Source organism: Homo sapiens, chromosome 17 (assembly GCF_000001405.40).
Source record: "Homo sapiens chromosome 17, GRCh38.p14 Primary Assembly".
Lineage (NCBI taxonomy): Eukaryota > Metazoa > Chordata > Mammalia > Primates > Hominidae > Homo > Homo sapiens.
The window spans coordinates 33393113-33415592 of record NC_000017.11 but is presented as its reverse complement, the minus strand read 5'-3'; the positions used below and the strand labels follow the sequence as shown (position 1 = coordinate 33415592).

General features: G+C 44.0%; 1 protein-coding gene across 1 annotated transcript in view, besides 1 other annotated feature; it reads left to right on the top strand.

The window, feature by feature from the left end:
• Positions 1 to 22480, top strand: part of ASIC2 (acid sensing ion channel subunit 2) — a 1143682-nt gene that overhangs the window by 741176 nt on the left and 380026 nt on the right. The window lies entirely within an intron of this gene.
• Positions 2008 to 2530: an enhancer, noted in NCBI's record as "NANOG hESC enhancer chr17:31740081-31740603 (GRCh37/hg19 assembly coordinates)". NCBI's record gives its function as "activates a minimal SCP1, AML or CMV promoter by ChIP-STARR-seq in primed H9 embryonic stem cells {active_cell/tissue: H9 hESC(primed)}" and the evidence as "EXISTENCE:reporter gene assay evidence [ECO:0000049][PMID:30033119]".

Genomic DNA, 22480 nt, shown 5'->3' with positions numbered 1-22480 from the left:
AAGTCAGTGGGCAGCGAGGGATTTGGACCATCTTGAACTAAATGAATTCTCTCTCTCTCTCAGAAAAATCCAAAGACTCTCAAATGAAAATACAATGGGCTCTACATGCCCATGGGTTCTACATAATTAACTAACCTCAGATTAAAATATTCAAAAATAATAAAAATAACAACTCAATAAAAACAATACAAATAAAAAATATAACAACTATTTACATAGCATTTCCATTGTATTAGTTATTATAAGCAATCTAGAGATAATTTAGAGTATATGGGAGGATATGTGTAGGTTACATGAAAATACAATGTTATTCCATATTAGATTCGAGCATCGACAGATTTTGATGTCCCTGAGGTGTCCTGGGCCAATACTGTGTAGATTCCAAGCGATGACTCTAGGGGAAAGCTGTCAAATCTTCTAGTCCAAGTGTCATGTTTTAACCAAAACTTAGAGAGGGTAAGTGACTTGCCTAAAGTCACAGAGTCAATCAGTGCAGCCAAAGGGAAGGCTGAGATTCTATCCATGTCCCCACAGGGTGGTATGACTGCCCTCCACTAGTATGAGGACAGTGCCTGGACTGCACATCTGAATACCACAGTCAGATGGTCAGTCCCACCAACATGTGAGGAGGGTATCTGAACTAGCAGTAGCCTGGTTGGGAAACCAAACTGCATGTCCTGATTAGAAGAAAGTAGAGGAAGGAAGAGGAGCCATGGAGAAGCGGGGTCAGGGGAGAGGAAGAGGCTTTTTGGAACCTGTTTGATCTGCATATCTGGGGAACATTAAAAGATGTCATTTTGAAGAGCAGAGTGGGGCCTAATGTGATTTCAGTGACAGAACCAAATTAAAATTTAAAAGAGAAATGAAACGTGTTCAGCATTCTCAGTGAAGATGGACCTTGTTAAGGACCAGGATTTGCTCCCTCTCCCAGAGTCCTGGAAAACCCTGGAGCACCTGCCCTCAGATTCCCAATGGCCTCAGTGGGCACATGAGCCTAGCGGTAACTGAGAAAGAGGAGAGCCCCAAGGCAGGCCTTGACCCCCTCCAGAGAGGTCCAGGTAAAGCCCAGTCGGTGGCTGCCGTGGTAGGAACAATGAAGAACTGCCCAGCCAACTAGCCAATAGATAGCCTGCTCAGCTTCATCCTCCCACTGCTCCAGTCCTCCTCCCCTCTACTTCCTTCTCCCCTGGCCAATGGGCATTACCAACCTGCCAACCTAGAACATCCCCTTCCTCGTTCCACCACACCCAGACCATCGCTGCATCCTCTCTTTTCTACCTACTGGAGTCTCTCTGCACTGCTCCCTCCAGCCTCCTCGCCATCCCTGCATGGTCTAACCTCTTCCACTCTCCCCTCCTCTTTGGGTGCAGCCTCCTGACTAGCTCCTTTTCTTAATCTTCCTGCCTCCAATGTATGCACTCAACAAGTACCTATGGCGTGTACCTTCCTTGTGTTGGTCTTAAGTTGGAGAGCCTCGCAGGGGTGGGACAAGAGTAGGCCACTGGGCTGCTGCGGGAACAAGACTTAAGGAGGACCTACTCTCGGGCTACTGCAAGCTCAGGGCCCATGTCTGGGAGTGAAGGTCTCCTCAAATGATGCTCCTTAGGCAACTTGCCTGCCTTCCCCAAGTCCTGGCCCTAAAACCAAGATAAGATAAAATAGAGTGCTCTTTGCCCCTGCAGAGCTTGCATGCCAGGGAGAAACCTAAGAATCAAATGAACAAACCCCTAAAATAACCCGGGCCAGTGCCAGAAGGAGCAAGGCAGAGTGCTGGGAGAGAGAGGGCACAGGTGGGCCTGATCCAGTCTCAGGGGGTCATAGAAGTTTTCTCTGAGAAAGAATATTTGAGCTGAGAGCTAAAGAGTGAGTGGGATCTAATGAAGCCAAGGCTGGGAAAAGGATGGGCCAAGGCTGAACATGTGAAAATCTGCAGAAAGGAGTAGACAGTATGAAGATGCAAAAGGCTACTGGGAGAATGGGCGTGGCAGGATATGATGCTGGGGAGAAAAATAAAAGGGCCTAGGCGAGGCCTTGTTGGCCAAGAGAGCCAGGCAGGAGGCTATCAGCGTAGTCCTGGTGAGAAACGGCAGTGGCTTGGACCAGAGTGGCAGCAACAGAGAGGGAGAGAAGTGGGCAGCTTGGAGAGATAGTTAGGAGGTAAAATTGACTGTATTCAGGCTGCAATCGGACCAAGTTGGGGACATTTAAGAAAGCTTGTTGATTGATTGATGGTTACTCATTGGTGCTAATGGCTTTAATCAAGGAAAAAGCTCTCAATAAAAACAAATGATTAGTCTTTATAATAGAAATGTCAATGGGCCATTAATGAATGAATTTGCTAATTCCCTGCTGAGGCTTTCAAGTCTCGGATGAGAACACTTAAGACCTTATCCCTGAGTCAGAGCTCCTGATTTGGGGGCTGTGTCACACTTCACTTGACCCCAAGAACCTTGGAAACACATCTCGGGGGAAAGCGTGATGCTCCTCAATGGCACCCCCTATGCCCCCATCTCTGGAGAACCCTGCTCATCAGCCTCAGTCCTCAGAAGCCAAGTGCCTTTAAGGCACAGAGACAGTAGCCCCTCATTGGGAACAAGTAAGAGCACAGAGCGGCTTGTCCATAGCACCTTAGCTTTGCTGTGGGCAGCAGGTGGGGGGTTCCTTGCACGCTCTTCTCATCTGGTTTAGCCATTAGCTAAACCAGACCCCGGCTCCTCTCACAGCTCCAGTTCCTGACCTACTGCTAGTTGCACAGAGCTCCTTCTTTGCGTGCAAATTCACAATTCCTTTTATCTCTCTGGCCTTGGACCTATCATAGGGCACCAACGTCTCTCCCACTTCTCATTGCTCCTCTCACACTCTCAGAAGCAGGAAAGATGATCCAGGCAGCCTTCCTCTATGCCTATGTTTATCCACTCAACCCAAGATAGGCATATATCCAGCCCAAAGGCCACAGAAAAAACAGAGAACATTTGCCTCATCATGACTATTTCATAGTTTTGCCTCAGCAAGACCAGGATTTTAATTCTGACTGTGCCTCTCCTTCTCTGTCTGATCTTGGGCAAATTATTTGACTTCTCTGAGCCTTCCTCTCTGCAAGGGAAGATTAATGTGGACCTCAAGGACTGTTGCATAGGGAGGACAGGAGGCCACACGTGTGAAATGCTTAGCCCAGTGCCTCACCCATGAAGTCTCACAGTAAGTCAGCACCCCCTCTCTACCCCTCTGCAGTTACCATGAACCACATGAAGGCAGAACAGGAACCATCATAATTCATGACATCCTGGTGATCAACAGCATTCTAAGAACCACGTGGGTTGGTACAAAGATGATAGGGCCTGAGCTGCTAGACAGTTGTGCTGGGCAGTCATACAATAAACTCTTCTCTCCTTTCTTTTTAGCTTGAGAAAAAGCAATAGGATCAAGGAGCGATGAAAACTGGCCCAACGAAGGCTCAGATTGAACAAATCAAAAATAATAAGCAGGAGGAGCCAGTGCCCAAATGATGTAGCTTCAAGGTTTTTGTTTTTTGTGTGTTTTTGGTTGTGTTTTGTTTTGTTTTGTTTTGTTTTGTTTGCATTTTTCTTGAGCTTTCACTCAAACCATAGCACTCACAGATTTGTTCAAACCCTAACCAAATATTTTCGGATGGCTACTCATAAGATTGCGATCTCTTTTATTTATGACACCCTAAAGTTGGTGAAGCCATGTCACTTTTATCTCATTTGACCCTCACAGTGATGCTGCAATGTAAAGTGGACGTGATTATCCAATTTCACAATGAGGAAGCTGAGACTCATCATGGTCTGGCCAAAGATACCTCGCTCAGTCACTTGTTCATAATCACACAGTCAGTCAATGGTAAAGCTGGTCCTTAAGCCTGACTCTGTAAATGCCAAGACTTCATTTTTTTCTTCCTATTGCCCCTCTGGTTCTTAAACCACTGAATTGGAATAAAACTACAATATCAAACTGCTATCTGTACCCCCACTGGAGCAGATAGATGAATGGGTGCACTCCAGGCCTAAAAGAATCCATAATACCTTCCTTTCCCTTCCTTGCCAGCTTCTCTTCCTCCAAAATCAGCCCAGCAGGAAGGCTCACTTGCCCAGTAAGGGAGGCTGTTTGAAAACTCTCATCCAATTACCATTTAAATTAACATCAGATTGACATAATGACAGTCCAGTTCTGGAAATCTGGCCTGAGTTGCAATGATATTCATTTGGGGGTTCACAAATGGAGAAGCTCTTTTTCTTTTTTTTAACCATCTCAAAGTTTTTCTAATCACTGGAGGACAAATGGTAACAACCATATAATCCAAACTCAAAACAATAGGGTAGAAAATTGTTATTCTAATGAGGATTCTGAGGAGGGCTGCCAGGAAGACCACACACACTAGCTCAGACAGAGTTGGCCAGCCTGGAGTAGCAGCCTATGTTTATTGTGGTCTGTAGCATCAACTTGACTGTGGCCATTCATGCATCATGGCCATTCATTCATTCACTCATAATTCACATATTCTTTCACCATTTCCTAGTCATGCTTTCACTTTCTTTTGCATTCATTGGCTTATCCTTCATTCATTTATTCAATCTCCTGTTCTCTCATTTACTCACTACACATCCATTCATCTGACAAATATGTTATGCTGTCTTCTATGTGCCAGACACAGTTCCAATAAGCGTCTACTGGCATCCACTTCAATCCTAGACATCTCCAGCTGGATACAAACATCTGCTCTTGCAGAGTTTACAAAACCATCCCCATCCCACAAAGAGCTACAGAGGAAAAGGTACTATGCTGGACAACTTTGCCTGTCTCACAAAGATGATACAGTACAACAGTCATGGATGAAGAGAGGAGTGACTTGAGGGCACCCAACTTAGGGAAGGGCCTTGACGAATACAAGAGTCCAAGACTAACAGAAAGGAGGCAGCAGATGGGGAGAAGAATGGGCACGAGGGCCTCATGGCAAGGACAAGCACTGAGACTACAGCCTGATCTGATGGGATGGGCTGGGAGGCTGGAGACGAGCCACAGGCATGGGGCTGAGGGCAGCTTACCGAGGGGGCTTGAGTCCCTCCAGAAGCAGTAGTTCTCAAGCCCTGATCTGCAGAAGGATATGTTTTTGACCTAAGCTGGATTATTAATTTTTTTCCCAATTCAAAGAGAGAAATAATAAGCTAAAGATAGGTTTCTTGCAATTGATATGTTCTTCTCTCATGTACGTTTCTAAACCCTTAGTACCCCTTACTCATCTAGATGAGAGTCTACTATAAGAGGGTGTCCAATTCAGCACAAAACACACATTTTTTATTCAGAGCAGCATGTTCCGGGGCTGTGATTTCTGGGTGCTGTGGCCCCTCATCATTTTGCCCACTGTTGCTGGAAATGGTATCTGGTAAGAAGATATCCAGAGTGGCCAGGCTTAGAAGAGTCAGCGATTAGAGCCTCATTGCTACCTGTCTCAGGTGGCTACAACATATCACATCATCATCTTTGAAGCTGGCTCCTAGGCTGACCATCTGCCAATTTCCATACATCCTCAATGGTGTGAACTGTAAGTCTAAAGCCACTGTAACTGAATGGAACAGACACGGTCCTGCTGAGGGGTCCAGAATGAGCTGCCCTGAGCTGGTTTGTACTGGTGTATGTTGGCCTGAGCTGGATCAACTGGGCAGATTTGGACAAGTGGAAACTGGGGGTGGGCTGAATCAAGCCAAACAGTGCTAGAATAGAACAAAACTTGGCCAAGAGGCCGCCCAAACTGGGCTGGGGTCCTGGAGGATCAGTTGTTCCTAAAGCCAGGCTCAAATTCATTTCTGAGGCTCTATTCTAGCTGTATTCATACCCCTCCCCCACACATAAGACAAATGGTCCAGCTCCCTCGGCCTCCTCCTCCGCAAGACTCTCCTTTACCAGAACTTCAGAAGATACTGCTGCCTGCTGCAAACGCTCCTCTCCTAACCACGATTCTATTTGATCTGGATGAATTAATTGGTGGTGGAGGGGTGAGGGAATAAGAGAATAGGAGTACAGTGACCATGACTGAGACAAGGCTGATGCCAACTTCACGCATCTCTATCATTCTCTCCAGTTCTGGCCAAACTCCTAACATTAGTGTTAGGGTTATTGTAGGGCTACCCTTGGAGTTTTCTCAGACAAGGTGTTAAGTCTGATCCCTAGTCTCTCCCAAAGTTGGGAAGGAAGGGCTCTACATAGAGCACCTGGCTCTTTGAAGGTCACTCCAGTTTCTGTGCTGATGCCCCACTGCAGATGCCTCTCACCTCACTTTGGGAACTCATGCCTTGAATATTGGAGTTGATGACCTCTGGAGGAAATGCAGGAGTGGAACTTTTTTTTAAAAAAATTATTTTTTAGACAGAGTCTCACTCTGTCACCCAGGCTGGAGTGCAGTGGCATGATTTCGGCTCACTACAACCTCTGCCTCCCAGGCTCAATAAATTCTCCCACCTCAGCCTCCTTAGCAACTGGGACTACATGCGCACACCACCACTTCTGGCTAATTTTTTGTATTTTTGGTAGAGACAGAGTTTCTCCATGTTAGCCAGGCTGGTCTCGAACTCCTGAGCTCAAACGATCCACCCACCTCAGCCCCCCAAGGGTCTGGGATTACAGGCATGGGCCATCACGCCCAGCCAGGACTGGAATATTCTGTCTGTACACACCCTCTTCCCTGGGCTCTCTGAGCATTGCTTGAGCATTTATTTACCCTGTCCTCTCTCATCCCTCACTCTGTGGCTCCCCTCGTTCCCCACTTGTGTAGCTTTTCCACTCCACTGCCTTACCCGAGACATCAAGGTATTCTTGATTGTTTTGCAAAGATCAGATTGGTGCTCTGTGGTTTCTGGACCTCTTCTCCAAATCTACTGTTTGTTTGTTCATTTGTTTATCATGAATTTTCATCCAGGGAGTGGAGGATAAAGGCGTTATTACTCAGTGGAGAAAGGGGAGAAAAGGGAGGATAGTTATTGTGTGTGTTGTCAAGCATCTAATAAATACTGAATAACTTTTTAAAAATTGAGTTACCTACTATAGCATCATTTTACATATGCCTTGTATTTTTAAGTTAATGTTTATCCTGTGTTTTAAAGATGCACAAACTGAGCTCACATAGCTAAGTACCGGATACATATTCACACCCACGTCTGGCCTCTTTTCACTACATTGTACTGAAGTATCCTGCCCTCCCCACTACCCTTCACCTACAACCATAGCCCAGCATGGAAGAGACAGAACCAAGTCTTCCTGTTCCTGGTGTTCTCACCACTGCAGCACATGGACATGACATTTGTTGGGGAGTGAAAATCAGAACAGAAAAGGAAAGCCACAAAATGCAACAAACGTTGGTTATTGAATTAAGCTAGTTTCTCTCTTTTTTACAGATAATTCAGCCAAATTGATTAATGTGCATAGGTCCCACCAGCATCTCCTGCATGTCAAACTCTGCCCAGGATCTGAGCAAGAAAGGAAACTCATGAGAAGTCATTCCCCAAGGCTGTCGGGTACATGTGGCACACTTCTTCTAAAGGGCAGGGAAGCCACAGATTTGGAACTGGTGTGGTCTTGGTGGCCCCAAATGCCTCCCCACCATGAACAGGAAGGATTTGGAAGTGACATCATCATGCTGACATTTGGAAGCCATTAGGCACTTCTCATTGGCTGGGTTGCCAGCCAATACACTCCCTGTCCTGGCCTGGCATTTGATCCAATACCTAAGTTGACCTGGCTAGAGACTATAGGGTTGCTACCAAGCCAAGCCAATCCCAACCTGGTTCCCAGAATTCCTTGGGCTTGCTTGTCTTGCAGGTCCTAATGTTTTTGCATTAAATCTATTTAGAGTAAATCATTTATCCAATCTAATTTTCCCCATCTGCAAAGGCCTGAAGCTCAAATTATTTCTCTAATCAGACTGTTTCATTACTAACTTTATTTTATTAAATTTTTATTAATGTACCTGGGATCCTATAGAACTTTTCCTCTTTTCTCTATCACTTGAAGAAAATATAAAGTTGAGAATTTTAGAGAATTAGGCCCATACTTGCCCTGAGTGATGCATTATGGGAGTATCAGGAGGATGGTTCTGGGGATGGGAAGAAAATATAGCACTTGAAGGGAGTCTTAAAGTGATCAAGAGGCATTAGCCGAATGGATCAAAGATACTACACAGTTAATAACAATGGTTGTTATTATATGAGTGCCTGCTGGCTCTAGTACAGTTCTGAGAGATTTAGTGTAAAATAATGGTTATTAGAACAAACCCTGGAATCAAAGTGTCTGAGTTCAAATCCCAGATCAGCCAGTTATTATTGAGGGACCTTGGGCACTGAGACATTGTCCTTTTCTCCAAGATGATTTTCTTAGAGAACTCTTAGTTCAATTCCCAACACATTGGCGAATGCCCAATAAATGTCAGCTATTGCTATCATTATCTCTTTTCCTCCCACCTGCTAAAGTAGATAATATTATCTACATTATACAAGTGAAAAAAATTAAGACTCAGAGAAACTAAATAACTAAATTACATGGCTAGAAAATGGTAGCTCTAGGAAGCCAGCTTTCCTTGACCTTGAACTCAAGTCTTTCAGACTCAGAATCTGGCATTCTTTCCACAATGTTTCACTTTCTCTACTTCCTTCTCTATTTGAGACTGGAGAAAGGCCAAAACATTAGTCTATTATAACTTTCATCATTTTCAACATCTTCTGCAAATACAGTTTCCTGAACAGTCCTTTGATTTTCCAGAATTCTCTAGGCTCTCATTATACTTGTAAACTCTTTAGGGGTAGGAATATACCTTCCACATCTTTATGGATTCCATGGTCTTAATAAGTACTCCTCACATTGCAGGATTCAGAACATAATTTAGCAAATGCTTGCATAGCCCTTACCATCTGCTGGCCACTGTTCTAAATGTTTTACACATTTTAATCTATTTAATCCTCATGGCAGCTCTCTGAGGAGGCTACTGGTGTTATTCTCATCTTATAATCAAGGAAACAGAAACACAGAAAGCTTAAAAACTTGTACAGGGACACACAGCTAATAAGAGAGCAAGCTGGGATTCCAGCTCTGCACAGTGCTGTGTTCTGTGTTCTGCGTTTGACAGAACAAAAGAAAGAGCAATCAGAACCTTGAGGAAAACTCAGTCTTGTACAAATAAGACTTGGCCCACCCATCATTATTTATAATTTATGCCCCGTCCACATTGAAAGAGGAATGTTCGCAGACTGCCTTGAAAGAGCTGAAAATGTGCATCAGACACAGCACCTTAATGTTCTCATATCAAGTCTGTGGGCTGATGCATAAGTGAGCTCTGCTTCTGGAATATTCTTACCCCTGAAAAATTCCCAATTGCTCATCAAGCTTTACCTATATCAATTATACTCACAGATTTTATGACACAGAGAGGCCAATGACATTGAAATATTTTTATTACTTACATTTCCCAAGAGGAAGGGGCACACCAGAGCCAGAGTGGAAAACACCAGGTTGGGTCAGGAGGCAGAAGGAGCCAGGGCAAAGCCTGGCCCAGGTTTTTTTTCATGGAAAGAGCCTGTTTTGCATTTTCCATGGGAAAGGCAGGGCAGGGGAAAGTTTGTGATTGGCTAGTGTAAATAATGCTCGCAGGCTCGGGCTGGCAGGGTCGTCTCTAACTGTCTGGTACCTGGCCCCTGGGTGATTGGAGTGGAGGAATATTGTCTCCTGGGGTGTAAGAGCCAGAAACAGAAGATGGTTCAGGGTATGGGCTCTGAACTGGTTAGTTTACATATGAAAGGAGTGCTGTCTTGGCCCGGTGTGGTGGCTCAAGCCTGTAATCCCAGCACTTTGGGAGGCCAAGGCGGGTGGATCACCAGGTCAGGGGTTCGAGACCAGCCTGACCAACATGTTGAAACCCCGTCTCTACTAAAAATACAAAAATTAGCTGGGTGTGGTGGCGGGCGCCTGTAATCCCAGCTACTCAGGAGGCTGAGGCGGGAGAATTGCTTGAACCCAGGAGGCAGAGGTTGCAGTGAGCCAAGATCGCGCCACTGCTCTGCAGCCTGGGCAACAGAGCAAGACTCCATCTCAAAAAAAAAAAAAAGAAAGAAAAAAGAAAAAGAAAGAAAGAAAGGAGTGCTATCTCTAAGAATTGGCTAGTCCTGGGAGGGGTGATCTCTCTCCAGTTAGTGAGGTCACAAATGCCAGAGCATCAATAATACAGAAAGTAAGAAAAAATAGTTAATACACTACTTTGGAAAGTTGTACCCCATTTTTCTATTCCTATTGTCCCTTTTTTCTAATCCCATAACATCCAAAGCAGCCCCCTACCATGCAATTCTATTTGCAATGATTCCCATATCTGCCTCCTCCATGGGGGCAAAGACCAGGTCTTATTCATCATTCCAACTCTGGAGATATGATGCCCTTGAGAAACATTTGATAATTGAATGAATGAATGTGACAGAGAGGCATGCAGCTGAGCAGAGAGCATGGAAAACAGTTGTATCAGAGACAAGCACATGCCTGTCCCCCTACTCTAACATTAGCCCAGAGTGTCCTGGCGTTCAAGACAAAAAAGAAAAAAAAAAAAATAAGCCACCTGGGTTCAGTAGCTCCCACTGCTTATCAAATAAGTCATTCAAGTTTTTTAGGACAGAACATTTTTTCTTGGTACTAAATTCTATAGGGTACTTGCTATATTGGGTCACATGGAAAAGACATCAAGTAGTAATATAATGGGTAATATAATAGCCAGAAATACCTATATCATCTTTATATGGTCATTTCATTCATTGAACTTTGATAAAACTGAAACAATAATATAGTGACAGTGGCAAAATATTTCTTTGTGTATCTAGGCTAAAGAAGTGCAAACATTCTGCTCTCTGGGATTTCCACAGCCCAGAAGAGTGCATGGTAACAGGATGCATATGTTGTCCCTCTTAATGTCGCTCAACTCAACATGCATTTGACAGGAGCTGATGAGCTGTCAGGTCAAAACTGAGCTCTTAGGCAAGGGTCTGGAGTGCAACTGATTGGAAGTTGAGCCATCTGCTTCAGATGTTGCTCCTCTGTCCAGAAGTAGACAGCCTTTGAGAGGCTAAAAGCAAACTAATCTGGAGGCCTAGGATTGATCCTCTACCTTGCTCTTGTCCTGAAAGTGTTGTCTGAGCCCTGGCTCTTAGTCTTGTATTTATTTTGCATTACTTTGTTTTCATTTGTTTGTTTGTTTTTTGGACGGCTTTATTGAGATACAATTTACATACTACAAAATTCACTCAAGTGTGCAATTCAACAATTTTTAGTAAACTTACAGAGTTGTGCAATCATCACCATAATCAATTAGCACATTTCCGTCACCCCAGAAACAAATCCCATGTTCATTAATTTGCAGTCACTCCTAGTCCCCACCTCCAGTTCTAGCAACCACTAAGCATGCCTAGTCTTTTACTCTATCATTTGAACCTTTCCTTTCCCAAACTTGGCAACTCAAGCTGCTGAGGTCTTTTAAACACGAATATCTCTCTATGTTTTATGGAAGTCAGTGCAAAAGAAATGAAACTTGTTTTCATGTAGCAGGTGACTTCACAAAAGTTAAGCATTGCACTAAGCTAGAAATCCCGGTAGCCACTATTAACAAGTCCATGGGTCTCTCTGTAAGTTACTATCATTCACTGACTCATGAAGCCATCTTTCTGATGTCCCAGCTGCAATTCACTGTGGGGCTTGGAAAAGTCATTTCCTCTCTCTGGAGCTTGGCTTCTTCACCTGTAAACTGTTCACCCAGATGATTGCCAAGGTTTCTGCTAGCTTTAGGTTTACAAGATTCTTTAATAGAAGTAAAAGGGTAATGTCAAATGATGATGGAGGTTGGTTACTTGATGAGGAAGGCTGGTTTCTTCCCTGATGATGAAGGAAGGTTTGTTTCTTGTACTAAGTACAGCAAATCCCACACCTGTCTGAGCGATTATTTTCACTTACTCAGGGGCTTGTAGCCAATTCCACCAAACAAGGCTTTTCACTGAAGAATAAAATACTTTTAAACACATTTTAATCTCTTGATTTGTTTAAAACATTTTTTCTGTGCAAGTAAGATAGACAGTCTTAATTTAACTAAAGCAGCATGTGGCAGCTGCCCATAAGTAAATTACTTCAAATGCAAGATAAGCTCAACCCAGCTAGACAACTGATGGAGAAGAGATATGATCTTCCCAAATGTTAATGGGAAAGTAATTCTGACTGAGGAGAAGGCAGAAGGGAAGAAGGAAGTGGAGGTAGAAGCTGTGTGCCCACCTCTAAATCTTCAAATTCTATTAATATATTGTGAGTGTATTTATATGATGAGACACCTGTATTCTGCTAAAGATGCTAAAGAGAATAGTAACCAAAGGCTCTCACAGGCTCTGCCCGAGTGCACTCATGAACTCTTGGTGAGCCCTGCATGGTCACTAGCAATGGAGGTGTGCAGCCAGGACCCAGGCTGAGCATATGTTTATGGTAGAGGCAGCAGAATCTAAAGAATCTGATTATTAGTAGAGATGGAAATATTTTGACCATACAAAGTCACGATTGATCCCACCAACAGTATAAAAGCGTTCCTATTTCTCCACAATCTCAGCAGCATCTGCTGTTTCTTGACTTCTTAATCATCACCATTCTGACTGGCATGAGATGGTATCTCACTGTGATTTTGATTTGCATTTCTCTAATGATCAGTGAAGACACTGTGGTGATTCCTCAAAGATTTAGAACTGGAAATGCCATTTGATGCAGCAATCCCATTTCTGAGTATATACCCAAAGGAATATAAATCATTCTATTATAAAGATACGTACACGCGTATGTTCACTGCAACACTAGTCACAATAGCAAAGACAGGGAATCAACTCAAAAGCCCATCAATGATAGACTAGATAAAGACAATGTGGTACATATACACCATGGAATACCATACAGCCATAAAAAGGAGTGAGATCATGTCCTTTTCAGGGACATGGATGAAGCTGGAAGCCATTATCCTCAGCAAACTAACACAGGAACAGAAAACAAAACACCACATATTCTCACTTTAAGTGAAAGCTGAACAATGAGAACACATGGACACAAGGAGGGGAACAATACACACTAGGGCATGTTGAGGGACAGTGGCAGGAAGAGCATTAGGGAAAAGAGCTAATGGATGCTGGGCTTAATACCTAGGTGGTGGGTTGATAGGTGCAGCAAACCACCATGGCACATGTTTACCTATGTAAAAAACCTTCACATCCTGCACAGGCACCTTGGAACTTAAAAAAATAAAATAAAATAAACAAAGTCATGATCAAAAAGCCTTATCCAGGATAAGGCAAGACCATAAAGTAGAAGAAAATATGAAGACTAAGATATGAGCCTGTGCATGGAGCCCTCCATGCAGTGTGGCCCCTCAGATCTAACCCCTCAGCTCCAGCCTACCAGCAGCTTTCCCAGTGGGCTTGAGGCTTGCAAGAAACTTGGTCCAGGAGGAGTCAAACATCCAAAGGAGATCTTGCAAAGACCTCCAAGAATATTTCTGGACAACAGCTTTCTTGCCTTGTGGAACAATATGGCCATGGAGGGAATTGGAGTCAAAGAAGAGAATCAATTCTTTCACAATCTTCTGGGTCATTCGTGTCATTTAAACATATCTGAAGCTCCCAGAAAGGTCACACTATGGGAGAGAGACCTCGCATAACTTAATTTCCTTTTGTTACTTTGTGAGCTTCATTTTCTCCCATCCTCACCTCTCTGCTCTCTCCTTTCCAGGCCTGCCAAGTCCTGTTTATTAAGTGTTGTGTCCAATTTACCCAGCATTTAATTAAGCTGTCAAGTTGAAACAGGATTGTCTCCTGGGAAGCGAACAAAGATTTTATGGTCATTTAATTTTTGCTTAGGATTTAAAATCCTACTTCTGGCATACTTAAAATTATTAATGAGATCCAGGAATTCTTGCCCATTTGTGTCCATTACAAGACATAAATCATTAAGCTCAATTAGGGGCAAGAGAAACTTGCAGAGTTAGAGCTGAGGTTGTATTCCATCACATCTATCCAGTGCAGCCAAGCGATGGAGGCATGACCATCAGGGGCTGGGTGGAAAACAGACAAAGGAGGGCAGGAGGGGAGCCAGCAGGTGGCAGAGTTAGGGAGAAGGGCATGGAGGCAAAGGAAGGGATGGAAGAGGTTAACACTACAATGGCAAGGGATCAAGGAATGGAGTTCAGATTGATGATCAGAGAGGGAAGAGGGGGAGAAAGGAATTAGGGAGGTAGATTACAGATGGCGAAGCACACATTGGTAGTGCTTACCAGTAGTTCTGGTTCTCTTCTTCCAACACAAGGGAAGATTATGCTTTTTTAGCCTTATGGAGTTAGGCATGTCTGTGTGACTTCCTTTGGCCAGTTAAATAAGAGTGGAAGTGACAGGTGGCTCTCCCGGATGGAAGCACTTCAAGGCTGGCATGTGATTCCCCTTGTGTTCTCCTCTGTTAGAGTGTTGAGACGGCGATGTCATTCACATGGCCAACTCTCTGTCAGCCTGGGCCCCTGAGTGACGACGATATGGCATCTCTCCAGTGACCTGCTTTAGAGGTGCAGTGTGAGAAATAAATCTGTGTTGTTTTAATCCACTGAGAATCCACTGAGATTTTGGAAGTGTTTGTCACCAAACTGTTGCCAAACCATCACAACTCAACCTATAGGCAGTTTGAAAACAGAGATGCCTGTTTGTAATAGAGAGGCTGGCAGGGGTGGCAGGGGTGGCAGGGATAGGGGGCAGGTAGGAACCAGAAAGAGTCAACAGTGAGGACAGGTGAAAGGGAAGATATGAACAACTTGAATTCTCAGCCCCTGGACAGTGGTTTGCATAGAATAGGCCTTGGAATGGAATCAAATGGTAATAAATGATCTTTTTTTAAGTCCTGATTGTATGCTGCTTGCATGGTTCTAAGAAGATGCTAGATCCTTTTCAGCTCTCAGAATAGAAGCTCCAGTTTTTCCCAAAAGAGAGATTTCTGGCTCATAAATCTCCCTATTATCAGGTATACTTCAAGAAGGGAGTAGAGTCGGAGAGGTCATCAACACTCACAAATGACACAAATCTACTCCAGCCAACATTCACCCTCCACATTTCTCTTTAGCTCCTTCCCCTCAAACTCATTTCTACTGTCCTCTAAGCTCACTTCTTTTTGCTTGGTCTTCCCATACCAGAAGACTGGTCTGAAGACAGTCCACATTGTTGAAATTTTAGACCCTGACAGATTCCCTGAGCACTGCTTCTTCCTTATAATGAGATCTTCAACAAGGACACATAGGTGGAGCATGGAGTCTGGCACCTCACACACAGAGAACCTCAGCCAATCAGTTGTCCCCCATCTCACAGGTCCCTTCCATATATCCTACCTCAAGATGACTTTGCAGTTTGAGGAGAAAAGAGAGAAATTGGTGGGGAAACCAAATTTAGTGGTTTGCAGTTTTAACCCAGACCAGCCTCCTCACTGGCAAGGAAGAAATTAATAATGTATGGTCCAGAACAGACATCTGGCCCAGACCTGTGCAGACAGGTCTCTATGGTAACCCAGGTCTGCTTATTTTGTTACCTTCTCAGAGAAATTTCTTGGGAAGTTAACTAATGAGACAGATAGGGTCCCAGGCTTGTCTGCAGAGTTCACTTTTCTATTCCCCAAAGAAATGAGGTTTTAAGTGCTATGTAGGGTGGAATGGTGGCCACACTGAACCCAGAGACGGTGTGGTCCTGCCCACCACTACCATGGTGCACACACACACAAACACACACACGCTCCTTTTAGGAGAGCTAACTCTTGGGCAAGGCTTTCTGCCTGTGGCTTTCTCTCCCATCAGAAATGCCAGGAGGCTGGGAAAAGGATGCTTATGATGAGATTAAGGGGAAGGGGCATCACAAAACTGTGACCACACTGAAAGCAGAAGCTGATTCATAGTGACTGATGAGGTCTGGACACTATGCCTGCATATGGTGGCCAGCATGCTGTGGGGAACAGGCCATACTGGGATTTAGATGGTTCATCGGAGATTTTTTGTTGTTGTTCCCAACACCACCCAAGGATGAAGAGTGGGTTGGTCTGGGTCAGGAGAGAGTGTAGAAGAGGGAGACAGAGGGGGAAGGGGGATGTAATCACTGGGAATTGCAAGGACAAGCCCTCCTCCTGATCGTCCCTCACCCCAGTGTGCCTTTGGCTATCCTCCAGCAAAGGAGTCTTGTCTGGTTGATTTCTTAAGGGCTAAGCAAACAGGTTGTCAGAGATCCTTTGTTTGAAGTGAACATATTCCTTGTAATGCCATCTTGGGTGAAGTTGGATTTATAAGTAGAGCCCAGGGGCAGTAGAGAAAGAAGGGCCTCATGAAGGACAGAACTCAAGGCCCAGGAAAGCATCAGAAACCACAGCACCTCCAACCCCATATTTCTTTCCCTGGGACCATCTGATCCTTCCTCTTTGCTCATCTCTATATGGTATTCTTCTCTCTCCCTCCAGCCTTCTTTTCTCTGCTTCTCTGGATACAGAGTAGAAAATGGCCACCACAAAATGGCAGCATCACTATCTGAAGCTAAATCACTTCCAAGGTATCTGTGATGATATGTCCCAGTCTATGACTCCCAAATTCCCAGAAAAGAGGAAAACAAGGCCCTTTGCAGCATGCCTAGCACACAAGAGGAAATCAGTAAATGGTAGCTTCTTCTGGACAATAAGACTTGAGTTGCCATCTTGGTTCTGTCTTCAATGGCTGTGTAGCCCCGGGCAAGTCACTTCATCACTTTAAATCCTAGTGGTTTCTGAAAAAGGTGGCAATCATGTTGACTGCTGCTAGCTCTGAAGGATTTTGTGAAGACCAAAGTGAAAATGATGTGAAAAAACTCCATAGACTCTGAGGTTCAAGGGTGAGGGAGTTCATTCTCTCTTCATCATCACCAACACCATCATCACCATAATCACCATCATCATCATCATCATCACCACCACCATCACTATCATCACTGCCATCATCCCCATCATCATTATTATAACCATCACCATCACTACCATCACCACATAATCACCTTTACTATTATCGTCAGCATCATAACCACAATGACTGCTACCATCATCACCAAGAGGCCCAATGCTGTCTTGGTTCCAACAGGTTTCCAAAAGTCATGGGCTTGAAATTTTGTAAGTTATCTCCTCCCTTTATCCAGGGTGGCTTCTGAAACTTACATTGTGTTAACCCGTGCTCTTTTATTTATTAATTCACTCAACAAGTATTTAGTGGGCACCTGCTATATTCCGGGGCCCATTCTAAATGCTGGAGATACATCAGTGAACAAAATAGAAAAGATTCTTAACTTCTTGGAGCTTTTGTTCTAATGTAGAAGGGGAAGATAAACAATAAAGAATACACACAGTATATAAGTAAACTATATGGTATGTTAGAAGGTGGTCAAGCCAAGGAAAAACAAAAACATAGAGTCGGTTAGTGTCAGGACACCAAGGAAAGAGAATAGACAGAGGCATCTCCCTGTAGTTCCTCCATCCCCTGCACTGCTCCCACCATCATGTGAAACTTCACACTCTAAGATTTTTTTTCCACTATGATCCTGATTGAGAAGGTCATTATTTGGCAAATATAAATCACTGTGACTCAAAAAGAATAAGATTCGACTAAAGAACGATTTTAAAATATGATGCAGTTAATTATTTGCAATAAAACTGGGATCTCAATCAACATGAAGAGCAAATCAAAGTGTTGTAGAAGTGGAAGATGGAAAATGCCCAATGGGGCTCCTCCAGCTAGGCCTTGAGCTATGCCCTGAGCTTTCTTGTTGCACTGACCTTTTGCTGATGGGGTGATGGGAGGCTGAAGAATCTCTTTCTCTAGGGTTCCAAGGGCTATCTCTTGGCCTCTACCCTGTCCCAGATCCCCAGGGACAGTTCTAGTAAAAATGAAAAGTAGATCCAATGTTCTTTAGAGGAACCTGCTGCCACCAGCTTCTCTCCCCTCACATGTCTATATCATTCTTCTAAGTTTCCTAATCCTGCCACCAATCTCTTGTCTTCAGACCATCCCATATTTCCTCTAATTATTTCCTTCAATTGTCATTTACTGAGCACCTGCTGCATGTAAGGTCCCCTGCTAGTTACAGGGACTACAGAGCAGAGTGACTTCTACCAAAGGAGCTCACATCCTAAGACAGACAAAGAAATGGACCTTCACAAATGGCCAGCCTAGATAAGTGCTTTGACAGGGTCATGCAAAGTGCTAGGTGAGAACTAAGGGTGGAGAAACTGTATTCCAGGGGAATTTGGCAACAGGCATAGTCTCTGATCCCACCCTCTTTAGGGTTGGGAGTCCCCTCTGAACACCTCTGTGTTTGTGTCCTCTGTTGTCTTTTCCACCTTGCACTGTAATTGTGCATTTTCTCAGCTGGCCTCCCACCAGGCAGTGAGCAATCTAGGCAGGACCTGTGCTTCCTTAATAATCCTTGTATTCCTACCCCACAGCACAGAGGGATGACTCGGAATATGTTGTAAGTTCTAGTGTTTGATGACATTTGTGCTGGGCCGTGAAAGATGAGTCAGAATTCAACAGGTAGGGGAGGGAAGAATAAACTCACTTGTGCCTAGCTATTATAACCTACAGTGCCTTCATCCCTACTTCTAGTTATTCAGGATGAGAGCCGCAAATCAGCCAGGAAATGAACAGCTAATGGCAGAATTTCAGGTACTTGAGGAGGCAGAGAAGTGGACTAGGTAAATTTCCCAATGCCTATCTCCATCACTGAAGTTCCTTCTGATATATTTTCAGGATTATATGAAAGACTGTTAGACAGGTGATCTAACTATGTCCCCATGATGAGAAATGCTATCAGTCCTCTACCTTAGCCTCAAATGAGTGATTTAGGGACAGTCCTAGGCACATAGATGTTTATAAATTATTTGGGGGCCACTTCTATAAGTGAGGCAATGAGGTAAAGCCCAGAGAGTATGAGCTTTGAAGTCACAAAGACCTAGGTCCCAGCCCAGCACCACCACTTCCCTGCAATAAGTTCCTGAGAAAATCACTTAATTTATTTGAGCCTCAGTTTCCCACATCGGTAAAATAAAGGAAATAATCATAATACTTCATTTCATGCGTTCTTATAAAGGTTGAGTGAGATAACAGGCCTATGTATGCCTAGTACATAGCAGATATTCAGGAAATGTGATATTTTGATCCTTGTCTCTATTGTGACAATTCCAGTTTCAGAACCGTAATTGTTACAAAGGTTGATTTTCTATTTAGCAGAAGCCAGAGGTGCATCTGCTCCTGGATGCTGCAATGAGAACTTGGACTGAGTATCCTGAGCTTCTTGCTACACATCCTTGGCCAAGGCACTGCCCCTCTCTGGGTCTGTTTCTTTATTTGTAAAATGAGGGAATGAGACTAAATGACCATTCCTTCTAATCTCAAGTTTTAAGTTTCTCTGGTTATGACGAGGTCTGTTTAGGTAGGGAAAATCTGATATTCTCCTCCAATTGATTAAAAAGTGAAAGACAAGAGTCTGACGGTTCTTCCAATTCCATTTACAGCTTCTCTGGCCTTTGTTATAAACATCTACTGTGAATCAGGCCTTATATGATTAGGTGCTTATTCAATCATCCCCACCACCTAATGTTCTCATTTCATAAATTTTGAAAGTGCATCTGGGGAGGTTAAGAAGTATGGTCAAAATCCGTCAACTGGTAAGTGCCAAAGTCATTGCTCTTTCTTCCAAATTACCAGGCATCTCATGGGAAAATCACACTTGCCTTGCCCCTCTGTCCCAGACCCTGGCTCCAAAGTTTCTGGTCTTCCCCATCATAAGGCCAGAGACAGAATTCCCAACATGCCCACAAAGGTGTCTACGTATAATAGGCTCTCAATATATTTTTGTTCAATGAATAAACGGGTGAATGAGGAGTGACTGGATGGACAAATAGATGGATGGACAGATGGATGGTGATAGGGTTTGGCCCTGTCTCCACCCAAATCTCATCTCGAATTCCCACATGTTGTGGGAGGGACCCAGTGAGAGGTAATTGAAAGGTCTTTCCTATGCTGTTCTTGTCATAATGAGTAAGTCTCACAAAATCTGATGATTTTTATAAGGGGGAGTTTTCCTGCACAAGATCTTTCTGCCTGCTGCCATTCATGTAAGATGTGACTTGCTCCTCCTTGCCTTCCACCATGATTGTGAGGCTTCCCCCACCATGTGGAACTGTAAGTCCAATTAAACCTCTTTCTTTTGTAAATTGCCCGTCTCGGTTATGTCTTTATCAGCAGTGTGAAAATGGACTAATACAGATGGAAAGATGGATGGATGGATGGACGGATGGATGGATGAATGGATAGGTTGATGGAAGGGTGGATGGGTAAATGGGTGGGTGAGTGGGTGGGGGGGAATGTGTGGATGAGTAGAAGAATGGATGATTGATGGGTGGATAGAAAGATGAATGAAATTATAAATGATGGATGAGTGGATGGATGGGTAGGTGGATGGAAGGATGGATAGATATGTGCATGGATGGTGGAGGGAGGGAGGGAGGGATGGATGGATAGATGGATGGGTGAATGGAAAAATGGATGGATGCGTGGATGGATGGGTGAATGAATGAGTGGGTGTGTAGGTGGATGAAAGGATGGATAGGCAGATGGGTAGGTGGATGGATGTATGATCAATGAGAGTAGAAATTTAGTCTTTTCCCTTTTTGTATATATGATTCAAAAACGACATGACCAACCAATACCAGCATCCATGGGAAACATTTAAGACATTGCTGCAAGCCCCCAGGAATGTTTCTAGGCAGGAATGTTCTAAGGTGAAGCAAGTTAGGAGTCTAAGGTACAAAACTTAAGGAGGCACTCACTGTCCACAAATTTTGCCTCCCTGGGTGCCTCACTTGGCTCACCCTAGTCCCAGCCCTGTCTCTGGGATCATGTCCCCTCAGCTCTGCTCTAGTCTCTGAACCTCTTCTCTCTCTGTCCCTCATACCCTGCTCACATTATTCTAACCTTGACCACTGTATTTCCTTGACCAAGTGTTTTCCAACCCTAGCTACACAATAGAATCACCTGAGAGGCTTTCAAAAAAAATCCATATGTGGGCCCAGCCCAGTAATTTGAATCTGAAACTCTGGTGGTGAGGCCCAAGTATCAGCATTTGTTGAAAGCACCAAATTCCAACTTGCAGCCAGGGCTGAGAGCTGATGCTCTACCCCTTCTGATGGGTGACCCAGTTTTAGGCTGTTTTCTGTGGCACCATTCTCACCTACACTACCCTCTATAACAGATGCTAGGAGCAGGCTTCCCTCTGCTCCCACTGGGCTCCCCCAGGGATGATTAGTGAAACATCTCTTTCCATTTTTACTTATAGCCCTGTCACCCTGGGATGTAGCAAACTCCATAGAGACTAGGCTGGAGAATAACAATATAAAACATAATAGTTAGCATTTATTAAAAGCTTACAGTGTGCCAGAGGTGTGCTAAACTCTTTATGCGTGTTTCACTTATTGTCACATTAATCCTATCAAATAGATTCCATATTTAATCCCCACTTTGGAAACAAGGAAAGAGAGACATAAAGAGGTGAATAAACTTGCCCAAGATTACATGGCTAAGTAGAAGTGTTGGAGTTTAAATTGAGAAGCATGGTCCCCTGTCCCAGACCCTTCATTCCATGCTTGGTCCTTGTCAGCAACATATGGCCTCAGTCAAGCCCAGTGGCTTGGACTCTTAGACATCATGGATGATGAGTTCTTCCTCTTGGTGCAGGATGGCATTGTGGGTCTACTCCATGAACCCCCAGGTGTGCCTGGTTCCATCTGAATCTTAGGATGCCATAACTTAGATCACCAACTGGAACTTCCTTTCAGCACATATATTCCCCTACTTCATCCTCTCCACAGCCCTATGAGATAGGTTTTATTATTCCCATTTTGCTAAGCCTAAGAAGTTATATAACTTTCCCAAAGCAGCACAACTAGTCGATGGTTGAAATGTTGATCCATAGCTCTCAGATAGTGTGGTTCAAGCTTTTTCTCCTACACTGGATGAGGAAAGTTGCTATGGCTCAGGTGGTTAGAGAAGGCTGGTGGAGAAGTGAGGATTAAGCTGGGATGTGAACACACGGTACAGTTCAGATATGTGGGCGGGAGAAGGAAGAGCATTCCAAACAGAAGGAAAAGCATGAGCGATGACATGGAAGTGGAACTCAGAGGAGCATTAAAGCCATGGTGAATGGCTACAACAGGTCATTCATACAGTGCCACAATGACTCTGAGACTGGAGGGTGGGATAAGTCATTAAGGTACATTGGGAAGATTATTGAAAGCCAAGATCAGGAGCTTGGGCTTTATTTTATAGGCACCAGGGAGCCATTGAGCAGGCAAGCAATGTGTACAAATAAATGTTAATAGAATAGAAATCATCAGA